Source organism: Homo sapiens, chromosome 1, assembly GCF_000001405.40.
Source record: "Homo sapiens chromosome 1, GRCh38.p14 Primary Assembly".
NCBI classification, from domain to species: domain Eukaryota; kingdom Metazoa; phylum Chordata; class Mammalia; order Primates; family Hominidae; genus Homo; species Homo sapiens.
In genome coordinates this window covers 153,670,995-153,694,311 of record NC_000001.11, presented here as the reverse complement: position 1 = coordinate 153,694,311, position 23,317 = coordinate 153,670,995, and the positions used below count along the sequence as shown (strand labels likewise).

At 52.8% G+C, this 23,317-nt stretch overlaps 1 protein-coding gene and 2 non-coding genes across 5 annotated transcripts, besides 12 other annotated features; 1 reads left to right on the top strand and 2 right to left on the bottom strand.

Annotated features, from left to right (window-relative positions):
* Positions 1-319: 319 nt before the first annotated feature.
* Positions 320-15,624, bottom strand: NPR1 (natriuretic peptide receptor 1). Of its 3 annotated transcripts, NM_000906.4 has the most exons (22): positions 14,483-15,624; positions 13,612-13,811; positions 13,019-13,132; positions 12,473-12,608; positions 11,723-11,814; positions 10,801-10,936; positions 10,488-10,572; positions 9,228-9,348; positions 8,432-8,506; positions 8,112-8,189; positions 7,562-7,666; positions 7,225-7,296; positions 6,956-7,112; positions 6,523-6,678; positions 6,091-6,259; positions 5,213-5,359; positions 5,001-5,124; positions 4,791-4,859; positions 4,332-4,506; positions 3,930-4,028; positions 1,115-1,206; positions 320-960 (listed from the first exon to the last, which is right to left on the bottom strand). In NM_000906.4, the coding sequence occupies exons 1-22, from the start codon at positions 15,201-15,203 to the stop codon at positions 898-900; spliced, it is 3,186 nt and encodes a 1,061-aa protein (NP_000897.3). In that variant the 5' UTR covers positions 15,204-15,624; the 3' UTR covers positions 320-897. The 3 variants fall into 3 exon arrangements, with proteins under 3 accessions (NP_000897.3, XP_005245275.1, XP_016856863.1); XM_005245218.3 differs by lacking the exon at positions 8,112-8,189; XM_017001374.3 differs by lacking the exons at positions 320-960; positions 1,115-1,206; positions 3,930-4,028; ... (3 more) ...; positions 5,213-5,359; positions 6,091-6,259 and having other exon boundaries at positions 6,631-6,722.
* MIR8083 (microRNA 8083) lies at positions 4,519-4,607 on the top strand. Its single transcript, NR_107050.1, has one exon. It is a non-coding gene; the product is annotated as a microRNA 8083 (primary transcript).
* Positions 6,007-6,704: an enhancer, noted in NCBI's record as "H3K4me1 hESC enhancer chr1:153660084-153660781 (GRCh37/hg19 assembly coordinates)". NCBI's record gives its function as "activates a minimal SCP1, AML or CMV promoter by ChIP-STARR-seq in primed H9 embryonic stem cells {active_cell/tissue: H9 hESC(primed)}" and the evidence as "EXISTENCE:reporter gene assay evidence [ECO:0000049][PMID:30033119]".
* Positions 6,007-7,402: a biological region, named in NCBI's record as "CDK7 strongly-dependent group 2 enhancer GRCh37_chr1:153659386-153660585".
* Positions 6,203-7,402: an enhancer, noted in NCBI's record as "CDK7 strongly-dependent group 2 enhancer chr1:153659386-153660585 (GRCh37/hg19 assembly coordinates)". NCBI's record gives its function as "activates an origin of replication core promoter dependent on BRD2, BRD4, P300/CBP, MED14 and CDK7 cofactors, with strong dependence on CDK7, by STARR-seq in HCT116 cells {active_cell/tissue: HCT116}" and the evidence as "EXISTENCE:reporter gene assay evidence [ECO:0000049][PMID:35650434]".
* Positions 8,806-9,305: an enhancer, noted in NCBI's record as "H3K4me1 hESC enhancer chr1:153657483-153657982 (GRCh37/hg19 assembly coordinates)". NCBI's record gives its function as "activates a minimal SCP1, AML or CMV promoter by ChIP-STARR-seq in naive H9 embryonic stem cells {active_cell/tissue: H9 hESC(naive)}" and the evidence as "EXISTENCE:reporter gene assay evidence [ECO:0000049][PMID:30033119]".
* Positions 9,306-9,807: an enhancer, noted in NCBI's record as "H3K4me1 hESC enhancer chr1:153656981-153657482 (GRCh37/hg19 assembly coordinates)". NCBI's record gives its function as "activates a minimal SCP1, AML or CMV promoter by ChIP-STARR-seq in naive H9 embryonic stem cells {active_cell/tissue: H9 hESC(naive)}" and the evidence as "EXISTENCE:reporter gene assay evidence [ECO:0000049][PMID:30033119]".
* Positions 14,425-15,405: an enhancer, noted in NCBI's record as "H3K27ac-H3K4me1 hESC enhancer chr1:153651383-153652363 (GRCh37/hg19 assembly coordinates)". NCBI's record gives its function as "activates a minimal SCP1, AML or CMV promoter by ChIP-STARR-seq in primed H9 embryonic stem cells {active_cell/tissue: H9 hESC(primed)}" and the evidence as "EXISTENCE:reporter gene assay evidence [ECO:0000049][PMID:30033119]".
* Positions 14,824-14,883: a silencer, noted in NCBI's record as "silent region_1344". NCBI's record gives its function as "represses an Ori minimal core promoter by ATAC-STARR-seq in GM12878 lymphoblastoid cells {active_cell/tissue: GM12878}" and the evidence as "EXISTENCE:reporter gene assay evidence [ECO:0000049][PMID:35858748]".
* Positions 15,406-16,387: an enhancer, noted in NCBI's record as "H3K27ac-H3K4me1 hESC enhancer chr1:153650401-153651382 (GRCh37/hg19 assembly coordinates)". NCBI's record gives its function as "activates a minimal SCP1, AML or CMV promoter by ChIP-STARR-seq in primed H9 embryonic stem cells {active_cell/tissue: H9 hESC(primed)}" and the evidence as "EXISTENCE:reporter gene assay evidence [ECO:0000049][PMID:30033119]".
* Positions 22,050-22,099: an enhancer, noted in NCBI's record as "active region_1754". NCBI's record gives its function as "activates an Ori minimal core promoter by ATAC-STARR-seq in GM12878 lymphoblastoid cells {active_cell/tissue: GM12878}" and the evidence as "EXISTENCE:reporter gene assay evidence [ECO:0000049][PMID:35858748]".
* Positions 22,110-22,189: an enhancer, noted in NCBI's record as "active region_1753". NCBI's record gives its function as "activates an Ori minimal core promoter by ATAC-STARR-seq in GM12878 lymphoblastoid cells {active_cell/tissue: GM12878}" and the evidence as "EXISTENCE:reporter gene assay evidence [ECO:0000049][PMID:35858748]".
* Positions 22,740-22,879: an enhancer, noted in NCBI's record as "active region_1752". NCBI's record gives its function as "activates an Ori minimal core promoter by ATAC-STARR-seq in GM12878 lymphoblastoid cells {active_cell/tissue: GM12878}" and the evidence as "EXISTENCE:reporter gene assay evidence [ECO:0000049][PMID:35858748]".
* Positions 22,920-23,299: a silencer, noted in NCBI's record as "silent region_1343". NCBI's record gives its function as "represses an Ori minimal core promoter by ATAC-STARR-seq in GM12878 lymphoblastoid cells {active_cell/tissue: GM12878}" and the evidence as "EXISTENCE:reporter gene assay evidence [ECO:0000049][PMID:35858748]".
* On the bottom strand, positions 22,991-23,062 carry TRX-CAT1-1 (tRNA-iMet (anticodon CAT) 1-1). The gene has a single exon. It is a non-coding gene; the product is annotated as a tRNA-Met (tRNA).

Genomic DNA, 23,317 nt, shown 5'->3' with positions numbered 1-23,317 from the left:
TTTGAACTCTTGACCTCAGGTGATCCATCCACCTCAGCCTCCCAAAGTGCTGGGATTACAGGCATGAGCCCCTGTGCCCGGCCAATAATAATAATTCTTAAGGATGTAAATGGGTCCTTAAACCAGTTTCAGCACTGCTGGGCAATTCATAGGCTGTTACTACTCTCAGAGCCTGCATTCCCAGCTTAAGAATCGAGAGTCTTTTTTTTTTACTTTTCCTTCTAGACCCTTGTAGAACAAGAAGTGAGTCTTATTTGAAGTAGAGAGTGGAGAACTGACTGTTTTCTGGCAACCCTCTCTCCCTCAAGAAGAGACACTGTCACTGGAATAAAGATTTTAATTGTCTCTGCTCATGGTAGAAGCAAGGCATACAGGCCCCCAACCCTTCTGCGCCACCCCTCTTCTCCCCTGTGCACTGTGTCTACTGCTGGGTGGAGGGGGTCGGGGGAGCAGGTATTGTGGGCCAGCCCCAGATGTGGGCTCCCCTGCCCTCTCTTCACCTAGTCTCTTTTCATGTTCCCCTTCAGGTGACTCTTTCTCCTCCCAGTAAGTCACAGGGTAGCAAGGCTGAGGGAGGAGAGCATGGGGAGGGGAGGGGATCAGGAATCCACAGCCCAGCCCGGCCTGAGTCCAGGTGGAGAGCAGGTGCGTGTGCCTGTGTGAGTGTCCCTGTGCATGGCCGTGGGCTTGGCTCAGCCTGTAAGCTCTGAGATCCCCCCATGCCAGTCCCCTCTCAGAGGTCCTATCTGGTGTCTTCACTGGGGTCAGCACACCTGAGCTATTCAAATTACTTCCATCCTTTGGCGATGGGGCTGCTGTGGGTGAGGCTGAGGCCTGGCACCTCTGTTGCTTCTGGCACAGGGTAGGGAGGTGTGGAGGGATAGGAGAGGAGGCAGGTCAGCCTCGGGTGCTACTCCCCCTCTCCCCAAGGAGCCAGTAGGTCCGAACCTTGCCTTTGCCCTGGAGGGAAAAAAGAGGATGGGCTGGGGAGTGGCACATGCCCTTTCCCCAGTCAGATGAGAGCCTTAGGGATGGGAGTGGCATTGGCTGCTTGAGAAGGGTAACTCCCTCTAGGACCCCAAAAGGTGGGGAGGGCAGAGGCTTCTCCCTCTACCTTCATTTCTACATCCCCTCGAAGCTCCAGCTCGAAACCACCAAACTCCTCCAGGACAGCCTTGGTCTCAGAAGACAAGTGGATCTTCAGGGCTGGGTAGGACAGGGGAGAAGGGAAGGTGAGCAATGTGAGAGAGGAGAGCAGGAAAGTAGAGGCAAAAGAGACCAGGGACTGTGGGGGTGGACAGGTGGACAGGTACCCTCTCTCCCTCTTTTGGGCCAGGAAGCCCTCTAGCTCAGAGGGGCCCCACCCCCTGAATGTAGTGCGTGACCACATTAGCCTCTCATTTAGAACTCTGGAGCTGTGTAATCCAATACAGTAGCCACTAATCACATGTGCCTGTTTCAACTTAAATTAATTTAAACTAAATACAGTTAAAAATTCAGGCTGGGTGCTGTGGCTCACACCTGTAATCCCAGCACTTTGGGAGGCTGAGGCAGGAGGATCACTTGAGGCCAGGAGTTCGAGACCATCCTGGCCAATATGGCGAAACCCCGTCTCTACTAAAAATACAAAAATTAGCTGTGTGTGGTGGCACTCACCTGTAATTCCAGCTACTTGGGAGGCTGAGGCAGGAGAATCGCTTGAACCTGGGAGGCGGAGGTTGCAGTGAGCCGAGATTGCACCACTGCACTCCATCCAGGCTGGGCGACAGAGCGAAACTCTGTCTCCAAAAAAAAAAAAAAAAATCAGGGCCTCAGTTGCACCCGTCACATTTCCAGTGATAAGTAGCCATATGTGCCTAGAGGCTACTGTATTGGACAGCACAGAATACAGAACATTTTCATGACTATGGAACATCCTGTTGGACAGCACTCTCTGGAGTGTCACCCGGCTCTACACAGCATGGTGGTTAGGAGCTGGCACTTTGGATCCTGCACTGCCTCAGTATGAACCTCAGCTTGGATACTTGCTTAGGTATGTAAAATAAATTCTCTCTGCTTCATTTTCCTAATCTGTAAAATGCTGATAGTGTCAGTACCCATCTCAAAACCTTGTTGTGAGGATTAAATTTAACATCCATAAAGTATTCAAACGGAATGTGCTACCTAGGAAGCACTATGTAAATTGTTGCTTTCATGATTTCATGCTATACCCTCATTTTGTGGCCGAGGAACTGAGGCCCAGGGTGATCTGCCCAAGTGGCTGAGGAGGTCAGTGATGGAGTGGGGCCCAATATTGCCACACCCTCTCTTTGACCACTGTCTGAACTCATGTCCCTACTTCTGGGGTTTGCATCAATCACAGTGGCCTTGTTGTGTTTAACAGTTTCTTTCTTTTCTTTTCTTTCTTTCTCTCTTTTTTTTTTTTGAGACAGAGTCTCGCTCTGTTGCCCAGGGGTGCAGTCTCGGCTCACTGCAACATCCACCTCCTGGGTTCAAGTGATTTTCATGTCTCAGCCTCCTGAGTAGCTGGGATTACGGGCACGTGCCACCACGCCCAGCTAATTTTTTGTATTTTTAGTAGAGACAGGAGGTTCACCATGTTGGCCAGGCTAGTCTCCAACTCCTGGCCTCAAGTGATCTGCCCACCTCGGCCTCCCAAAGTGCTGGGATTACAAGCACCCCCAGCGCCCAGAATGTTGAACAATTTCTGGGAATGTGCTCCTTGAGGACTGGACCCTCAACAAGGGGCTGTACTCTGACAGCCCCCAAAATAGTGCCCAGGGAATATTTGCCGAACTAGATCCCTCTGGGCTCCCAGGACTGGCTCCCAAGCAGCCTTTCTTTCACCATAAGGTTTAGATGGGGTCCACATGAATTTCTCAGCTAACTCTGGATCTGGGCCATGTTACTATCCCAGGGCCTGGCACTCAGTAGTCACTCAATAAATGTTTACTGCATTGAATTGTGTCGAATACAGCAGAAGGATAGAAGATAAACAGGAGGCAAGAGCAAGGGGCGGGTAGGAGTAAGAATTTATTAGGTGCCTGCTGGGTACCAGGGTTTGTGCTAGGCTTCTTGCAATCCTGAGATAGACATCATTTTACAGATAATCCGCTAAGGCTTGGAAAAGTTAAATGACAATTATGTGGTAGACATTTTTAATGGGTTTCTCACATAATTCCTGTGAGATAGATTTTTTCCCTCTTTTTACAGATGAGGAAAACCATGGCTCAGAGAGGTATAGCAAACTGACACACAGCCAGCTGTGGAGCTGAGATTCACAGCCTCACTTATGCTGGCTCTGAAGCCATCTTTACCACATCAAAGGTGGAGCAGAGGGTCTTTTTTTTTTTTTTTTTTTTTTTTTTTGAGACAGAGTTTAACTCTTATTGCCCAAGCTGGGGTGCGTGGTGTAATCTTGGCTCATCGCAACCTCTGCCTCCCGGGTTCAAGCAATTCTTCTGCCTCAGCCTCCCAAGTAGCTGGGATTACAGGAGCCTGCCATCACACCTGGCTAGTTTTTTGTATTTTTAGTAGAGACGGGATTTCATCATGTTGGTCAGGCTGGTCTCGAACCCCCGACCTCAGGTGATCCGCCTGCCTCAGCTTCCCAAAGTGCTGGGATTACAGGTGTGAGTCACCACGCCCGGCCCACAGAGGGTCTTAAAATCAGATTCCTGCTGGGAACTCTCCAGCACTGGCCCGGAAATACTTTTACATCGTTTGACAAGAGGGGCAGCAGGAACCTGAGTCTCTGGTTACAGTCAAGTTGATGAGCCCAGGTTGAACTCTTAATATTATGAGAAGGGGAACTTGGGAGGCGAAAGGGCTAGGAGCTGAAACGGGCTGTGCAGGCACAGGCTGCCCCAGGATGGCATTTCCCTCAGCCACCCTGCCCTCCCCATTCCCTCTAGGAGGGGGCACTGTACCTTCCCCATTAGACTCCATTCTTGAGGCTGTGTTGACTGTATCCCCAAAGAGACAGTAACGGGGCATCTTCAGTCCCACCACTCCAGCACACACAGGTCCTGGGAGGAGCAAGGGAAGGAGCAGAGCCCATCAGCGAGTGAGGGAGGGAGGGGTGTTAAGGGAGGTAGGTGGACAATCCAAGACAGGCAGGAGGCAGGATCTGAGGTCCCAGCTCTGTGTGTGTGTGTGTGTGTGTGTGTGAGAGAGAGAGAGAGAGAGAGAGAGAGAGAGAGACAGAGAGAGAGAGAGAGAGAGAGAGAGAGAGAGAGAGAGATGAAAGGGCGAGGGGCTGGGCCAGGGGACAAGTTTCCCTTGCGAAGCCTTGGCCTCTGGATGCCCGCCTGCACCTTCAGTGGCCTTACCTGTGTGGATGCCAATGCGCAAGCGCAGCTGCTCCTGGGGCCGGTGGCGGATTCGGAAGGAGCGCACAGCATCCAGCAGTGCCAGGGCCATGCGGGCTACCTCGCAGGCGTGTAGCCGCCCGTTCCGCACAGGGAGCCCTGACACCACCATGTAGGCATCGCCAATTGTCTCCACCTGTGGGAGTGGCGAGGGGGTGCAGGACTTGACGGCTGCAACTGTGCGGCCGGCCACACCGTCACACCGGGTGCAGCGTCTGTCATTCTGTACCCTCATCTGTCTTTGCTCATCCCCCATCCCACATGGGTTCTCTGCCTGTTCCCGGGTCTCCCTGTGTCACTGTCTCTGCCCGTGTCCCCGATCTCCTCTCTTAAGACTCCACATCATTCTGCCTACCCCTCATCTTTTTCTGACCTTGTCCATGTCTGTCTGTCCCTTCCCATCCCCACTCCCACCCTCACCTTGTACACATCAAAGTTGTCTATGACAGCATCAAAGCAAGTGTACAGGTCATTGAGCAGGGTCACCACCTGGAAGGGAAGAGAAGCTAAGAGAGACAGGAAGTAGGGGACCCCACCTGGGGTCAGGTGGGTAAAGCAGAACCAGAAGGCAGGTCTGGTGGGATCCAGATGCTGAGCTTGCCTGGCACCTGTGGCTGAACCCTGGCCTACCTGCATGGGTGTGCTCTCCGCCGACAGCGCTGTGAAACCCACAATGTCACTGAAGTAGATGGTAACACTGTCAAAGGCTTCGGCCTGCACCGTCTCCCCACGCTTCAGCTGCTCAGCCACTGAGCTAAGGGGTCAGGGCAGGTGCAGGATCAGAGTTGGGGGTCGGGACAGGGGCTTTGTGTTGGGGGGGGTCCCCAGACTCAGGCACTCACTGAGGCAGGATCTGGTAGAGCAGGGCCTCAGCCTTGCGCTTCTCCTCCAGGTATGCCTGGGTCCGCTCCTCCACCAGTTCCTCCAGATTGTTCGCGTACTGCTCCATGCGGGACAGCAGGTTGTCCAGGATGTTGCTGCTGTTCTCCCTGGGGGCAGAGGGTGGCGGTGGGGGTGGTAAGAGAGGAGCAGCACAGCCTACCGTGAGCGCCCGCCCCTAGGCACTTCCCCCTCCAGACTGCAGTGAGGTCTCTAGAGACGCTCAGGGTTGAGGGCATAGCAGGATACCGGGGAGCAGGGGAAAACAGAAGGAAGAAAGTTCAATTCTTTTCTGAGACCCCAAGGTCAAGTATGAAGCTTCAGACATATGGACATTTTGTTCATCTTTGTTGAACCCAGTGAGTTAGAAGGAGGTAAAGGAGGTGGAGAATGACAAGGGTCAATTGCGGACAAAGTGATGTCCACAGAAGGGTGTGTCTGGAGGAACTGGGCCTGGTGGGCACGCTGGGGAAGGGAAATCAAGGGGTGGGGCAGGAGCTCCCGTGGAGGGCCAAGAGCCTACAGGGCAGGAGGCGGGAGGCCCATCTATCCTACACACTGCTGAGAAGTCTAGAGGCCAGCAAGGCGAGTGGGCAGGAAGGGTGTGGGGTGTCGATGGTGGAGGGAAGGGGCATGAATGGCAGGGGACTGTGGGGACAGCTGAGTCATGCTGTACTTGCGAAGAGGGTCATGAGGCTGTGCTGAGCTGGAGCTGACTATGTACAGGGAGGAGGTGAGTGGTCTCCCTCTGCCACTGCTGGGATAAGCCAGAGCCAGAAGCATTAGGTAAATGGTGGCTGTGGAGGAAGGGCCTGGGGGATCCATGACAAACACCAGGGACCTGTTAAATTTGCGCAACGTCAGGCGGATCTGCTGGAATGGTGGCCTCTCCTGTGGGTCCTCAGCCCAGCACCGCTGCATGAGCAGCCCCAACTCCTCCAGGTGACTCTGCAGGGCCAGGGAGGGCCGGAAGGGGGGCTGCTCACCCCGAGTCACCCGCTCGATGATCTCTGTATTGGGGGGGTAGAGGAGCTGAGGGGTGGGGCTGGCCAAGGGCCTAGTGAGAGACTGGGGCAACCAGCTGAGATGGCAGGGGAAGTCCAAGACCAAGGCATGGGGGCGGGGGACTGGTCACTGGCAGCAATGGGTCAAAGGGTGGTGACTGAACCCCATTACAGAAGGAAGGTGTGGTGGTGCTGCCAGGGGACCCTCTCCCTGGGGCTGGGGTTCGTTGAGACTGTGGCTGGGTTTAAGGAAGGTGTGCTCCTCTCACCTTTGGGGCTCAGGTCCAAACCTTCCACGTGGAAGACCCCACTCCTCAGGGCAATCTCCTGAAGGATGATCCCAAAGCTGTATACGTCACCAGCCTGGGAGCCCCGCACAGGGGGTGAAGCCATTCGCAGGAGCTCAGGGGCCGTCCACAGCTTTTCTGTGGGTCAGAGGTCGGTAGTCACCGAGTGAGGGAGCCCAAAGCTAAGGGGTGAGGGGGAAACAAGGGTGTGGCCGAAACTGATCTGGATGCATCACAGAGTGTTAGAGCTAGAGGAGGCCTTAGAAACCACTTCGTCTGGCCTTCCCTTTTTCATGGGTGAATGAATTGAGGCTGGAGTCAGGACAAGCATGCCCAAGCCCATCAGAGGCCTTGCATCAGTCTCCCTACTGGGTGGTGCTGGGGGCAGGTGTTAGGTTCAAGAGTCAAGGCTCACTGGCATAAACGGTGTGTCCTTGCTCTGGGTCCAGGTCCCTGAAGCTCTCCAGCCCATAGTCGGTGATCTTGAGCACAAAGCGCCCATCTACCACGCAGTTGGATGACTTGAGGTTCCCATGGGAACAGATAGCCCCATTGTGTAGAAACAGCATGCCCTGGAAATGTGAGTGGGCAGAGGTATTGGCCAGGAGTGGGACCTACACCCGTGGCCAGGAGAAGCATGCCTGGCCCCTGCTCTACACATCCAATAGGTGCTTAGGGGCATACCTTGACGATGTCATTGGTGAGTGAGTACCGGAACATCCAGTCCAGGGTGATGCTCTCATTCTCCAGAATGTCCTGCTGGGGCAATAAGAGTCAGACCAATCCCCTGCAGATCCCCCTGGGAGTTGGAGGAGGGTGCAGGGTCCTACTGATGTGAACTGGTAGAACAGGACAAAACTTTGGATTGACTCTAGTGCCACTGCCCTTCCCCAACTCCCATTTTTACAGATGGGGCCAGAAAGGTCAGAAAGAGGGCGAGGCATGCCTGGGGTCTTATGGCCAGTCAGGGGCAGAGCCAGGGCTAGAACCCAGGTTTCTTGACACCCCTTGTCCCCCTCACCTGCAGGCTCCCACGGGGACAGTACTCTGTGAGGATGCAGATATTGGGGGGGTCGGTGCAGGCTCCCACAAACCTGGTCAGGTGTTCATTCTGCACATCCCGCATCTGCAAGTGGGACCAGCATCAGGAGCTTGACAGAGACCTCGCTCCTCACCAAGCTGCTCACTAGCTTCAGGGACCCTCACTCTTCTTAACTCCTTATTCACTTTCTGCAACCATCACTAAGATCTTCCCTGGTGATTCCCACCCATGTCCTTTAGCCCACCCTCCCCAGAATCTGCTCCTACTCCCTCTGCATCCTAAGCCCTCTCTCCCCCAGGGACATCACATATGGCCCCTCAAGATTCCTCCAGGTTATCTCCAGTGGTCTCTTCTCCTAGCTTAGGATACCCCCACTCCCACCCACAAGATGAAGGTCCATCCCAGGGCTCCAGTCCCTGCCCCTTTCTTGGGGTACCCTGAGGTCCCTCCATAACTAGTTCTGTTGGCCAGTCTCCCTTGCGTCCCCGAGGGCCCCTTCTCCATGCCACTGCCTCACTCCCCACATTACATGCTTCAGTTCAAACAGGACTTTTCGTGTCAGCTCAATGCGTTTACGGTTCACACGTTTCACAGCCACGAGGTTGCCCTGGGCATGGAATGGAGACTGTCACTGTGAAGAGCATGGTCCCATGTCCTGGGAATTCCAGCTGCTCCCGACAGCCCATCCCTGCCCTCAGGACCCTCACTTGTTCCCAATAGCCCACCCCCAGGGCCCCCATCTGCTGCTCCCCACCAGCTTACTCCTTCCCTCAGAACCCCCCACCAGTCCTCCATCAGAGTACACTCCTGCCCCAGTCCCAAGGCCCAGTGATCTTTCCCCAGGCCCACCTTATAATATGCTGTCTTGGCAAAGACTTGGAACTGGCCCTCTGTGGTTAGCAGGGAGCCGTAATTGGAGCCTCTCTGAAAGGAGGGAGAGCAGGAGGAATGGTCAGCCGGTGGGCCCAGTCTGCATCCTGATTGCTTGTGCTCTGGTCTTTATTTCCCTGCCTTATCCTGCCTTATCTTTGTGTCACCCTTCCTTTTTGTTGTTGGGTTTTTTTTTGAGATGTAGTATCATTGTGTCATCCAGGCTGGAGTGCAGTGGTGCTATCCTAGGTCACTGCCGCCTCAGACTCCTGGGCTCAGATGATCCTTTCACCTCAGCCTCCAGAGTAGCTGGGACTACAGGTATGCGCCACCATGCCCTGCTAATCTTTGTATTCTTTGTAGAGACGATGTCTTGCTCTGTTGCCCAGGCTGGTCTTGAACTCCCAGGCACAAGCAATCCTCCTGCCTCGGTCTCCCAAAGTGCTGGGATTGCAGATGTGAGCCACTGTGCCTGGCCCACCCTGCTTTATGTTCCACATCATAAAATTTCCTCCTCATTTACTTTTTTTTTTTTTAAAGTGTTTTCACAGGTACTATCTCCTCTGACCTTTAAAAGAGCCCTGTGAGGGAGGCTCTGCTGCTGTAATCATCATCTGAGACAGTCTCGGAGAGGGACTATGAGTCGCTCAAGGTCACACAGCAAGTGAAAGCAGAGCTGGGACTAGAATCCTGCTCCCTTACCTATCCCTCAGGCACTGCCCCTTGTACCCACCTCTCCTTTATTGCCCCCCAACACAAACACCAGCGTTCTTACCCCGCTCAGGGTCAGCCGGCTGCCTGCACTCCGCAGGTGCCTCTCAAGGCTACTGGGCTCAACGTCCTCCCAGCGCACCCGCCACAGCTCCGAGGCCAGTTCCTTCTCCAGCTGCATCTTCCTGGGATACGAAGGCTGCATCTGAGCCTGTGGCTGAGCCGCTGACCCAGGGCAGGGTGCTCAGCAGCCCCTCCTCAGAGCCGTGGGACCACACCATGCACTCAGAGATGGAGGGGGAATTCTATCCTCTGGACTGAGAATCAGGATGGCTGGGGGAAATTCTGCCTTACTGGGGACCTTGGGGGAATCACCTCAATGTCCTTACTTGGGAATGAGGCCGCAATATCTATTTCATTCTTAACTATTATAAGAATGAAAAGAAATAGTGAACATGAGGCCAGGCACAGTGGCTCATGCCTGTAATCCCAGCACTTTGGGAGGCCAAGGTGGGTGGATCATGAGGTCAAGAGATCGAGACCATCCTGGCCAACATGGTGAAACCCTGTCTCTACTAAAAATACAAAAATTAGCTGAGCGTGGTGGCATGTGCCTGTAGTCCCAGCTACATGGGAGGCTGAGGCAGGAGAATTGCTTGAAACTGGGAGGCGGAGGTTGCAGTGAGCCTAGATCATGCCACTGCACTCCAGTCTGGCAACAGAGCGAGACTCCGTCTCAAAAAAAAAAAAAAAAAAAAAAAAGAAAGAAAGAAATAGTGTACGTGGAAGTGCCTGGCACACATTATATGCTCAACCAGCAGTGATTTTTCTCCCCTCCCTCCTTGCTTTTGTATATCATTAACTCCTCCTGTACTTCATTTTAGCCTCCACTGGACGGCAGGAACAAGGCTCATTCAGCTCCCTTCTCCATTCTAGGTTGGGCACCTGGCACACACCAGGGCTCACCCTCCTCAGCTAACATGGGCATGATTGCAAAGGTTCAGAAAGTTGCTTCCTATCTGGCCTGCAAGAGTAGCAAGGAAAACCAGTCCACGCCCCTATGATGTCACCCATCAACTTCTCTGCTTCTTGGATCTTTCTGACTCTCCTTGGCCATTCCTATCCTTGTCTCCTCCCCTCGCCCTGCCATTCCCTTCTCTTTCTTTCTCCTCTGGCTTTTAAGCCTCCTTTCTTCCTCATCTCCCTTGGTTTTCCCCTGGTGCCCCTTCACCCCTGCCCTCTTCCCTCTGGGTCCCCACCGCCTCCTCTGCTATTGGTTCTCCGGGTCCCCCAGCCTCACTCAACCCCCCACATCACAGCTCACCTGTATATGAAGAAGGAGACAATCAGAATGCCGAGCAAGGAGAGGCTGCCCACCAAAGCCAGCACCTCCAGGGTGGAAAGGTGATCTGCAGGAGAGAGTCCATATTGCAGCAAGAGAGATTTGGGTTAGACAGCAGGAGGAAGAACTTTCTAATAGTCCATCAGTGAACTGGGATGATGGATGAAGGGAAGAAAAAGGCAGGAGTCATTCTCCAGAAAGCCCTCAGCATGGGACAGGAGCACCTACTCGACTGTGCTTAGGGGAAGGATGCAGCATCTCTGGGATGGAGGCCTGGAAGGCAAGGGGCAGTCACCTTGGTTGCATGCTGGGTCTTCGTTGTCAAAGCCACATTTGGGGATGTCAGGAGGAGGGTACCCCAGGGGCCAGTTCAGTTTGCGCCCCGACACAGCCACCAGCTCTTGGGAAGTCCCATTGTAGTTCAGTACAACCTAAGGGAGAGCAGGAGTGGTGGCTAGGCCAGGGCCTGCGGGGAAGGCATGCTGTGAGTGCAGCAGTCTCACCTCCCACCTACCCCAGCTCTGCTTCTAGAGCCTACATATATATCTGGGTTGTCACCTGCTTACCAAGTCCCCACTGCAACTGGACACAGGACCTCATACCACACACATAGTACTCAAGTGGAAACACCTGAAAACTATCAAGGGGTTTATAAAGAAAACTCCATTTAGAACCCGATCTCTACACTCAGGGAGTTTATAATCTTGGTTGAAGTACCAACCAAGCATTGATTTTTCTCTACTTATTTTCTTGGTAGAAAACAGGAGAAGGTAATGTTCACCTTAGCCTACATTCGCAGGCCCAGTCCATGTGCCCGTCTTCCAGGAGGCCTTCTCTGGATGACCTGTCCCTTGTGGCCATTGGCCTCAGCGCCTTCCTGTCCCTGCTCGCTTGCAGAGCTGTGTAATGTGCATCTTTCACAGCCCTGTCTCTGCTGGGAGGCGGTCCTGCCTGCCTCCCTTCGGAGCTCCCCGAGGGCAGGCTTGTGCTCCCTCCTCAGGCATGGGGCTCCCCAAGTGTGATGCCTGTGAGTCCCTATCATTCTGGTGGCTTCCCCAGACTGGAGCTGGGTCTGTTTTATCCAGGGCTCTTGTAAGTGTCCAGGCATGGTGGAATGGCTACAGGATAAACAGGTGCCCTGGCAGGGCTGTGGGGGGGAAGTAGGAGGGTGAGATGTCATTTGGAATTGGCACTGTCTTCTGGGTGCACAAACTTACCCTGAAGGCACCATTCTCGGGATCCATATCCCAGAGGGAGAAGTCTGTTTCCCGATCGCCACTGCTATCAATTTTCAGGTATCCTGTCACACCTGAGGACATGGGGGAAGATGACTATGTTTGAGAGAATAGAAGTTCAGGGGTGCCCCACTTCATCTCTTCATCCTCTAATCTTTTTTGCCTTGCCTTCCAAACATACATGTATACAGAATGATAGTAAATGGTAAAACGGCCGGGCACTGTGGCTCATGCTTGTAATCCCAGCACTTTGGGAGGCTGAGGCGGGCAGATCACCTGACGTCAGGAGTTCAAGACCAGCCTGACCAACGTGGTGAAACCCTGTCTCTACTAAAAAAAATACAAAAAATTAGCCAAGTGTTGGTGGAGGGCACCTGTAATCCCAGCTACTCAGGAGGCTGAGGCAGGAGAATTGCTTGAACCTGGGAGGCGGAGGTTGAAGTGAGCCGAGATTGCACCACCACACTCCAGTCTTGGGGACAGAGCGAGACTCCATCTCAAAAAAAAAAGAAAAAAGAAAAAGAAAGGTAAAAGAACTCAGTGCCCAGCAGGGATGATTGAGATTGGACACTTTGTAGGACTTCTGAGGGATGGGCCTGAAAAAAGCTGTGGAGGAAAAGGCTGGTGTGCATAGGTAACTGCTGCAGGACAATAGGCTTCTCATGGCTTGACACTGGGCACCTGGGATTCATCCCCCAAGGCAGCCCATTCCAGCCACCTCCAGGCCCTGACCTTGAAAGCTTCGGTTCCACATCCGCTGAGTGATGTTCTCCCCATCAGTAACAGTTCCCCCATGTGCCAGAGTCTCCGTCACTGCCTGGATATAGAGCAGGAGCCCGTCGTGGAAGGATGCTGGGATGGTGTTCACCTGTAGGGGCAAACAGAGGTCGGCTGGGGTGGGCATATGAAGGGCATGGAGGTGGGAGCTGTGGGGAAGGGAACAAGAGGCACTGGGATTTTGGAAGAGGATGGGAGAAAATAACACCCCTATATCACAGGGAGATTTTACTATTTAAACGATGCCTTTGGATTAGCATCACTTCCTGAATCCTACTAGGTAGACAGGGCAGGATGTATCGTCTCCATATTACTGATGATGACCTGAGTTTCAGAGGCTGAACTTGCCAGTGTCCTCCTCCATCATCACGAGAAACATGGAACAATGGGAAGGGAGGGAAGGAAGGGGAGAACTGGGAATAGGGAAGGATGGAGGCTGGCAGAGGGTCATGGAGTGGGGGCTGGAGGTCCACGCTGGAGGGTCCCGGGACCCCTTCTTACCAGGCCATCCTCCATGGTGAAGTTGAACTGCTCATAGGCCAGGTGTTTTAACTGCTTCAGGAATTCCAAGTACTCGGGATTATCTGGGTCTTTATATGTAATGATTTTGGCAGCCTGAGAAAGGGGTCAGTGGAGAGCAGAGAGTTGGGAGCTGACTATTCCCTAGTACTGTGGGGCCCCAACAGTTGGGAGCCCACCTCCCAGAGCTGCGTCTCTGCTTAGCTCAAGGTCAAACTGGACCCTATGCCCTGCATGAAGTGATGCCCATTCCAAAGCAGGGGATCCAATGGGATGCCTTCTCCAAGTCCTGTCCAGGCTGTGGGACTTTATCCTCCTCCCGCCTCAAGCCCATTTTCTTATCTTTTTAGCCTGCTGGTGGCGAAGCGCCCCTGGGCAGTCCCCTGCCCTTCATTGCCTAATTCCCAGTGAGCATCACCAACCTCTTTTCTGTTCTGTGAGTTACCAGGAGTGCATAAAGAAACAAACAGACAAAAACCTCTTTTCTGGAATTCTTTCAGACGCTGAGGGACACAGTGCCCAGAAATGATGTGCCACAAGCTGAGACAGCCTGGGCTTCAAACCTAGGTACTCACCTGAAAGGCCTGGCGGGCACTGACATCCTGCCCATCCCCTCTCTCCCAGGGCCTGCGGGGAGCAGGGCCCTGTCCACCTTGCAGGCTTTGCCCAAAGATATCCAGGTGGAAGAAAACGTAGTCCTCCCCACACAAGCCAGCTTCCAGGGCCAGGAGCATGAGGGTTCTGAAGGCATCAGGGGAGCTGCAGATGTAGATAACTGGAGAAAGACGGAGAGTCAGAGAGAGAAGCCTAGGTACTGCGGGAGAGACAGGAGTAGGAAAGCTGGGGCACCCAAGGGAGGAAGTTTAGAGATAGGGTGCAGGAGAGACCCAGTGAGAGTTAAGTGGTAACTCCCGGCTCAGCCTAGGCCACAGCAGGAGAAAGTCGAAGGGTGGAACGGGCGGGTGCGGGGCGGTGGGCGGGAGGAGGAAGGGGGAGGCGGAAGGGAGGAAGGAACGGGTAGGGAGAGGGGGATAGTGGAGCTGAAGGTGGAGAAGGATGGGGCCAGGAGGGAGAGAGGAGGGAGAGGGAGGGGGAGAAGAGAGGGGATGAGGCGCAATGAGAGGAGAGGATGAAAGAAGGGAGAAGGCTATAGGGAAGAGAGAAAATGTGGGAGGGAAAAAGGGACCGGAACCGAGCTGTGCTAGGGTGGGAGGGAATGAGTGGGGGTCGGGGAGATGAGAGGATAGAGACGTGGTGGGGGTGGCGGAAGAAGAGAGGGAAATAGAAACTCAGCTGTAGAAAGGGCCAGGGAGCTGAAAGTAGAATGAAGAACGGCGAGGAGAAAGAAGAGTGCCCCCAGATGAGAGAGAAAGTCCCGATGCCTCCGGCAGGTCAGAGGGGAGGCCCTGCGGCTAAGCGGCGGGACGGGGTGTGCCAGCGTCTCACCTCGGCCTTTGCGCGGCATGGTCCGCAGCAGCCTGGTGTAGTGGCTGAGGTCGTCCTCGGCGAACTCCAGGTGGTCCACCGTAATATTGAGGCGGTCGCGGACCCGCATGAACAGCCCCTCCACGAGGAAGAAGCAGTGCTCTTCGTCACCCGGCCGGTAGGCGTAGAGCATGAGCGCTTGGCGCTCCCAGCCCAGCCGTCGGTGCAGCGCCGCCACGAAGTCCCCCAGCTTGGCGTAGCTGGGCCCCGCGCGGGTGGTCAGCGCATACTCGTCCTTGACACCGAAGCCCAGCGCCGGGGCGCCGGCGGTCAGCAGCGGGACCCGCCAGTGCGCGGTGAAGCGCCCCACTGGGGCGGCGGCGTACACGCAGCCGGGGCCCAGGAACACAGCGGGGTTGTGCTCCCACTTGAGGTCCACCGCGGCCAGGGGCGCTGCGGTGTCGGAGCAGACGCCCAGCGCGTTTTCGCTGCTGCCCAGCACCGTGCGGACCGTCCAGCCCGGCAGCAAGTCGGGGCGCGCCTTCACCTGGGCCAGGGCCAGCTCCACGGCGGGTCCCACGCGCGCCCACGACCAGGGGTACGAGGTATTGGCCAGCGGCAGTACCACGGCTACCGTCAGGTTGCCCGCGTGGCTGCCCCGGAGCAGCAGCAGCAGCGGCGGCAGCAGCAGGAGCAGGAGCAGGCGCAGGCGGGAGCCAGCGGGGCGCCGGGGCCCCGGCATGGCCTCAGCGGGCACCGCAGCAGGCGAGCGCTCCTACCATGGCCTCCTCGGTCCCCTTGGGCTCAGCGGCCGGTCCCAGGCATCAGGCGCGTCCCTATGGGAAGGAGCAGGAGCGGGACGGGGACGCTCACCCCGGGGCTCGAGGCCCCCTGTAGCTGCGACGGTCTGGGCCGAGAGCGCAAGGGGCGCGACCGAGGGGGGCGCGCAGGGCGCCGCGGAGCAGGTGGGTGCCAGGAGAACGTCGGGCTGGAGAGGACCCGAGTGTGAACAACTGGGAGTGTGCGTGCGTGTTAGAGAGAGAGAGAGAGAGAGAGAAAGGGTGCGAGTGAGCGCTTCGTGAAGAAGGATGAGAGAGGGCGCGCGAGGGAGGAAAGAGGAGTGTGTGTTTGTAGCGTGCGTGAGCGCCTGCCCCAGGGAGTGTGCCAGAAGGGGCGTCCGGCCGGCCCAAGTCTCCGGCTATCCGGAGGGAACCGTGGAGGACCCGAGCCAAGCTCCGAACCCTCCCTCCCAGCCGCTTCCCCTCCCAGACTCAGTGACAGAAGAGCCAATCCAGGATCTTTAACTCCTTCCTCCCCGCCGCCCAGCCCGCGCGCTTCCCCGTGGACCATCTTCCCCGGTCTCGGCCGCCCCACGCCTACCTCTTTGGAGGACAGGACCCTCTGAAGGTGCGCCCTCGCCGGGATGGAAAGGACGGCTGAACGGAGGGTGTGTGTGGAAGCAACCGGGGCCCACTTGCGCCCCACCTTTTCCCTCGCCTCCTACCTGGTCTCCTCGGGGGAAGAGGGAAAGGTGTGCTGGTTTGGGATCCTGGCAGGAAACTGAGTGAGTGCGTGGATGTGTGTGTTTGGGTGTGGGGTGGAAGGTGACGGGTTTCTGGAAAGTCCGTTAAAGTTGAAGGTGAGCCCAGAGTGCTTGTTACCCATTCCTTCTATGATCTCCCTCTCTTTCCCTCCCTGCCACCTTCCAGACTGTGCAGATTAGCTGTGAAAAAATGATCTGGTGTCAGAGAGGAATTAAATCTTTAGCGCCCAAATTGTAGGAAGATGGGGAGAGTGGGTGGGTGTCTGGGAGGGAGGAGGTTCACACCTCAGGGACGCCCCAAGAAAATGACTGTTTTGTGTTGAGGGTTGTTAAAATGAAGGCTGTGGGAGATGACCACTGGAGGCGTAAATTGGGGAGTGGGTTTTGGAGCACTTGACAGCTGGGCCCCCGGTGCAGACTGCTGTGGAATCAGTGTGCCCTCTAATGGTCATCGGGGGTTATTGACGGCATTGCAGCGCCAACCTCTCCAACGCTGCGCCTAAGCAGGACATAAGATCACCAAACTTCAGGTCAGCAAACATTTCCAGAGAACCTTCGGTGCATTAAGCACCCACTAGGTGCCGAGGGCATAAAGATGAATATATATAGTCCGTGCCTTTGAGGAGCTCCATTTGGGACAAATAACCGTAATGCAACATGCATTAAGCACTACAGGGGAGACATGGATAAATTGCTAAAGGACTCAGATGAGGGCTATTCATTCTGCTTGGATTGGGGCCAGAAAATCTCCAAAAAAGAAATAATTCAAGAGGATGGAAGGATGAGAAAGGTATTCTGTGTAGACAGAGCAGAATGTTGAAGTACATTTCCTATATATGGAATTTTAGGAGACTTGAATATTCTTATTATCTAGAGCAAATTGTGGTCGATAGGCCAACTTGAGATGGCAGGCATGCTTTGGCTTGCATTCTCTTTATGTATATTGTATTTAATTCCCCACACTTAAATATCATAAGATGGGGCCGGGCAAGGTGGCTCAAGCCTCTAATCCCAGCACTTTGGGAGGTCAGGGTGGGTGGATCATGAGGTCAGGAGTTCAAGATCAGCCTGGCCAAGATGGTGAAACCCCGTCTCTACTAAAAATACAAAAATTAGCCAGACATGGTGGCGGCCGCCTGTAATCCCAGCTACTTGGGAGGCTGAGGTAGAGAATTGCTTGAATCCGGGAGACAGAGGTTGCAACGAGCCGAGATTGCGCCACTGCACTCCAGCCTGGGCAACAGAGCAAGACTCCGTCTCAAAAAAAAAAAAAAAAAAAAGATGGTACATGAATATTTGGATTTCTGACTTTTTTTTTTTTTTCCTTCAAAGATGGAGGTCTCCCTATGTTGCCCAGGCTGGTCTTGAACTCCTAGGCTCAAGCGATCCTCTTGCATTGGCCTCCCAAAATTCCTGGATAACATGTGTGAGCCACCAGGCCCAACCTGGATTTCTGACTTTCCTTAAAATATTGGAAGAGCTGGCAATATATTGTCCTGCATCCCTCCATGAGCAATTAACCAGAGCAAGTATCCATTATCTCCTTGAAATGAGTCTAGTTCATTATGGTTCCTAGGCACCCTGCTTCACTCAGGTGCATTACCTGCCTGGCTGTAGTAGGAGTTTGTGTTTTCAGCCCTGATCTAGGATGTAAGGTGTGTGCATGTAGGATGACTGAGGAAGAGAGGCAGGGAAGAGGGCAGTGGAGGGAAGATTATGAAAGCTTTTGTGTGACAGGCATAATGTTCTTGTCCTGTAATGGAGATGGCGGATTCCAGAGATTGTAGAGGTAGACAGCAGATGCAGATGGGGAGATGTTTTGTAAGTAGAATCAGTTGAACTTTGGGAAGTGAGGACATTATACAAATAACAGATCTAGGTGATGTTGATCCCATTAGCTGAGAAGCTGAAGAAGGTTTTGGAAGGATGATACTTTTAGTTTATTGGATGTGAGGTGCCTATAGATAATCAAGTGGAAGTGTCTGATAGGCCTCGGACTAGTGGAGCTGGAGCTCAGAAGAAATGACTGGACTAGAAATATAGTTTAGTAATTGAGCTCCTTTCAATAATGGTGAACTAGCCCTAAAGCTACAGACAACTAAAAGTGTTGGATGAAATACTTTTTTAAAAATCAAAGAACTGGCTGGGCATGGTGTCTCATACCTGTAGTCCCAGCACTTTGGGAGGCGGAAGTGGGCTGATCACTTGAGGCCAGGAGTTCAAGACCAGTCTGGCCTTCATGATGAAACCCCGTCTCTACTAAAAATACAAAAATTAGCTGGGTGTAGGCCAGGTGCGGTGGCTCATGCCTGTAATCCTAGCACTTTGGGAGGCCGAGGCGGGTGGATCACCTTAGGTTGAGAATTCGAGACTAGCTTGACCAACACGGAGAAACCCTGTCTCTACTAAAAATACAAAAATTAGCCGGACATGGTGGCGCATGCCTGTAATCCCAGCTACTCAGGAGGCTGAGGCAGGAGAATCGCTTGAACCTGGGAGGCAGAGGTTGCGGTGAGCCAAGATCATGCCATTGCACTCCAGCCTGGGCAACAAGAGTGAAACTCTGTCTCAAAGAAAAAAAAAAAATTGGCCGGGCTTGGTGGTGCATGCCTGTAATCCCAGGTACTAGGGAGGCTGAGGCACAAGAATCACTTGAACCCAGGAGGCAGAGGTTTCAGTGAGCCAAGATTGCGCACCTGCATTCCAGCCTGGACAGCAGAGCAAGACCCTGTTTCAAAAAACAATAAATAAATAAAAATAAAAATAAAAGAACTGGGCCGGGCGCAGTGGCTCAAGCCTGTAATCCCAGCATTTTGGGAGGCCGAGATGGGCGGATCACAAGGTCAGGAGATTGAGACCATCCTGGCTAACATGGTGAAACCCTGTCTCTACTAAAAATACAAAAAATTAGCTGGGCACAGTGGCGGGCGCCTGTAGCCCCAGCTATTCAGGAGGCTGAGGCAGGAGAATGGCTCGAACCTGGGAGGCGGAGCTTGCAGTGAGCCGAGATCGCGCCACTGCACTCCAGCCTGGGTGACAGAGCAAGACTCCGTCTCTTCAAAAAAAAAAAAAAATTAGCCAAGCGTGGTGGCAGGTGCCTGTAATCCCAGCTACTCGGGAGGCTGAGGCAGAATTGCTTGAACCCAGGGGGTTGAGGTTGCAGTGAGCCGAGATCCCACCACTGCACTCCAGCCTGGGCAGCAAGAGTGAAACTCTGTCTCAAAAAAAAAAAAAAAAAAATAGCCGGGCTTGGTGGTGCACACCTGTAATCCCAGCTACTCGGGAGGCTGAGGCACAAGAATCACTTGAACCCAGAAGCAGAGATTGCAGTGAGCCGAGATCACACCACTGCACTCCAGCCTGGGCAACAGAGCAAGACCCTGTCTCAAAAAAAACAATAAATAAATAAATAAATAAATAATAATAAAAGAACTAATAAGATAGTGAGGCCAGGCACAGTGGCTTACGCCTATAGTCCTAGCACGTTGGGAGGCCAAGGCAGGTGGATCACCTAAGGTCAGGAGTTCGAGACCAGCCTGGCCAACGTGGCAAAACCCCGTCTCTACTAAAAATACAAAAATTAGCCGGGCGTGGTGGCAGGTGCCTGTAATCCCAGCTACTTGGGAGGCGGAGGCAGAATTGCTTGAACACAGGAGGCGGAGGTTGCAATGAGCTGAGATCGTACCATTTCACTCCATTTCGAGCAAAACTTCATCTCAAAAAATAATAATAATTAAAAAAATAAGATAGTGAGAAATTATTGGTGTGACAGCATGAAAGTACAGGAAAGTAGAGAAGTAAGCCCAGCAGTAGGGCTGATTTTACCCTGGGGTCATTTGCTGATTTGGAATTAGTGGCAGAAAATAGGTTGTGTGGGGCCGGTGAAGTCCAGGCCGGGTGTGGTGGCTCACACCTGTAATCCCAGCACTTTAGGAGGCCAAGGCGGGAGGATGGCTTGAGCTTAGGAGTTTCAGACCAGCCTGGGCAACAGAGCGAGACCCCATTTCAATTTTTTTAAATTAAAAAAAAGAAAAAGGGCCAGGCACGGTCGCTCATGCCTGTAACCCCAGCACTTTGGGAGGCTGAGATGGATGGATCATGAGATCAGGAGTTCAAGTCCAGCCTGCACAAGATGGTGAGACCCCCCATCTCTACTAAAAATACAAACATTAGCCAGGCGTGGTGGTGCATGCCTGTAAGCCCAGCTACTCGGGAGGCTGAGGCAGGAGAATCACTTGAACCCAGGAGGCAGAGGTTGTAGTGAGCCGAGATTGCGCCACTGCACTCCAGCCTGGGCAATAGGGGGAAACTCACTCTCAAAAAAAAAAAAAAAAAAAGGAGTCCAAATGTCCCCAAAGGTGATAACCTTGGTAAACCACCTTCGTGTTTTGGGCTAGGATCTCAAAAGGCTGCACTCCTAGGGGCAACCTGGGAGTAGAATAAATAGAAAATCTAAGGTCCTGCTTGGTGCCTCACATCTGTAATCCCAGAACTTTGGGAGGCTGAGGTGAGGATCACTAGAGCCCAGGAGTTGGAGACCAGCTTAGGCAACATAGTGAGACCTTATCTCTACCAAAAATTAAAAAATTAGTTGGGTGTGGTGACATATGCCTATAGTCCGAGCTACTCTGGAGGTTGACACAGGAGGATCGCTTGAGCCCAAGAGGTTGAGGCTTCAGTGAGCTGTGTTTATGCCACTGAACTCCAGCCTGGGCAACAGGAGTGAGACCCTGTCTCAAAAATAATAATAATACAGACCCAAAATATTAAAAGACCAAAATTAAGAACCAAATGATAGATTTAATACTATGTTAGACTAAACTGAGGAGCAAGTAATAAATTGGAAGAAAGGACAGCAGAAACTACCTAAAATGAAGAATGGATAAAAAGGAATGAAAAGCATAAAAAGAGAGGGTAAAAGGCCTTTGCAGTGGCTCATGCCTGTAATCCCAGCACTTTGGGAGGCCGAGGTGGGTGGATCACCTGAGGTTGGGAGTTCGAAACTAGCTTGAGCAACATGGAGAAACCCTGTCTCTACTAAAAATACAAAATTATCCAGGCATGGTGGTGCATGCCTGTAATCCCAGCTACTCGGGAGGCTGAGGCAGGAGAATCACTTGGACCTGGGAGGCAGAGTTTGTGAGCCAAGATCACGCATTGCACTCCAGCCTGGGCAACAAGAGCGAAACTCTGTCTCAAAAAAAACAAAAACAAAAACAAAAACAAAAACAAAAACAAAAACAAAACAAAGACTAGCCTTGACAACATATAAAGTACCCCATCTCTACAAAAATAAATAAATAAGTAAGCCCGGGGCCAAAGGAGGTGGCTCACACCTGTAATCCCAGCACTTTAGGAGACAGAGGCAGGAGGATCACCTGAGGTCAGGAGTTTGAGACCAGTCTGGCCAACATGGTGAAACCCCATGTCTACTAAAAATACAAAAATTAGCTGGGCAGGGCCGGGCATGGTGGCTCACGTCTGTAATCCCAGCACTTTGGGAGGCCGAGGCGGGCAGATCACTAGATCAAGAGATGGTGACCATCCTCGCTAACACCGCGAAACCCCGTCTCTACTAAAAATACAAAAAAAAAAAAATTAGCTGGGCGTGGTGGCGGGCGCCTGTAGTCCCAGCTACTCGGGAGGCTGAGGCAGGAGAATCGCTTGAACCGGGGAGGCGGAGGTTGCAGTGAGCTGAAATAGCGCCACTGCACTGCAGCCTGGGAGACTCCATCTCAAAAAAAAAAATAAAATTAGCTCGGAGTGGTGTGGCCTGTGCCTTTGAGTAGTCCCAACTACTAGGGAGGCCGAAATGGGAGAGTCTCTTGAGGCCAGGAGGTTGAGGCTGCAGTGAGCTATGATGGTGCACCACTGCACTCCAGCCTGGGCAACAGAGTGAGACCCTGTGTCTAAATAAAATGAAATAATAGAAGAGAGGGTAAGAGACAAAGAGATTACTGGGGGAAAAGTCTAACCCGTCTTTATTTGGAGTTCAGGAACGAGGGAAATAATAGGTAAAACTAATACTTGAAGAGATAATAGCTGATAAATTTAATAAATGGACGACAAACCTGAAGCCATTGATTCAAGAAGCTCAACAAACCTCAAGTAAGATTTTTTTTTTTTTAAACGGAGTCTCCCTCTATCGCCCAGGCTGGGGTGCAGTGGCGCCATCTCAGCTCACTGCAACCTCCGCCTCCCGGATTCAAGAGATTCTCCTGCCTCAGCCTCCTGAGTAACTGGAATTACAGGCGCCCGCCAGCACGCCGGCTAATTTTTGTATTTTTAGTAGAGACGGAGTTTCACCATGTTGGCCAGGCTGATCTCGAACTCCTGACCTCGGGTGATCCACCCGTCTCGGCCTCCCACAGTGCTGGGTGGCCACAAGCCACCGCACTCGGTCCGCTTTTTGTTTGCTTGTTTTTTAAAAATTAATAATATTTATTTTAATCTGGATGGTGGTTACGTGGCCAGAATACGTTTAGACTTAAGATGTTTACGTTCTGCTGTAGTAAATTAAATATCGAAAAAGTACTTATGGAAGGGAGGTAGGTGAGGGATAAAAGTCTACAAGTTGGGTTCAGTGTATACTGCTCGGGTGATGAGTGCACCAAAATCTCACAAATCACCACTAAAGAATTTATGTAACCAAGCTGGGCGCTGTGGCTCACGCCGGTAATCCCAGCACTTTCGGAAGCTGAGGCGGGTGGATCACCTGTTTCCATGGACATGGAAAACCATGTTTTCCACACTAATTCAATCAATATACTCCTCTCCTATCTAAAACCTGTTTCTCCTGCTTCGAGTTTGTAGACGTGCAGTGTTCATAGTTGCCTAAACTCCCTTTTCCCCATCAACTTCAACTGCTAGTGGCAAAAATAGCTGATATTGGTTGCATTTTTGAGGTAGGAAAATTGGCAAGATATTTTCCTTCACTAAAGAAACGTAGATTACGTATGCCGTACAGGGCAATGAAAAAACTCCGATAGCAGAGGATGGTTTCGATCCATCGACCTCTGGGTTATGGGCCCAGCACGCTTCCGCTGCGCCACTCTGCTATCTAGAACTAAAATTTCTCATGATTGTTATAGAACACTACGTAGTCGTTGTCCTGACTTCTTTAGTGCCACCTAATGTCTGATCAAAAATTCGTCATTACTATAGAACCAGTTCTTATTGGCTAGTTCCTGACACAGTAGGCGTTTTTTATTGGTTCATAAGCCCGGTTTGACAAAGTAAGCCAATAGGCATAAGCGATGGGGTAAGGCGGGAGCCAATCGCACCGGGTTTTATTGGGACACGCCGGCAAGACG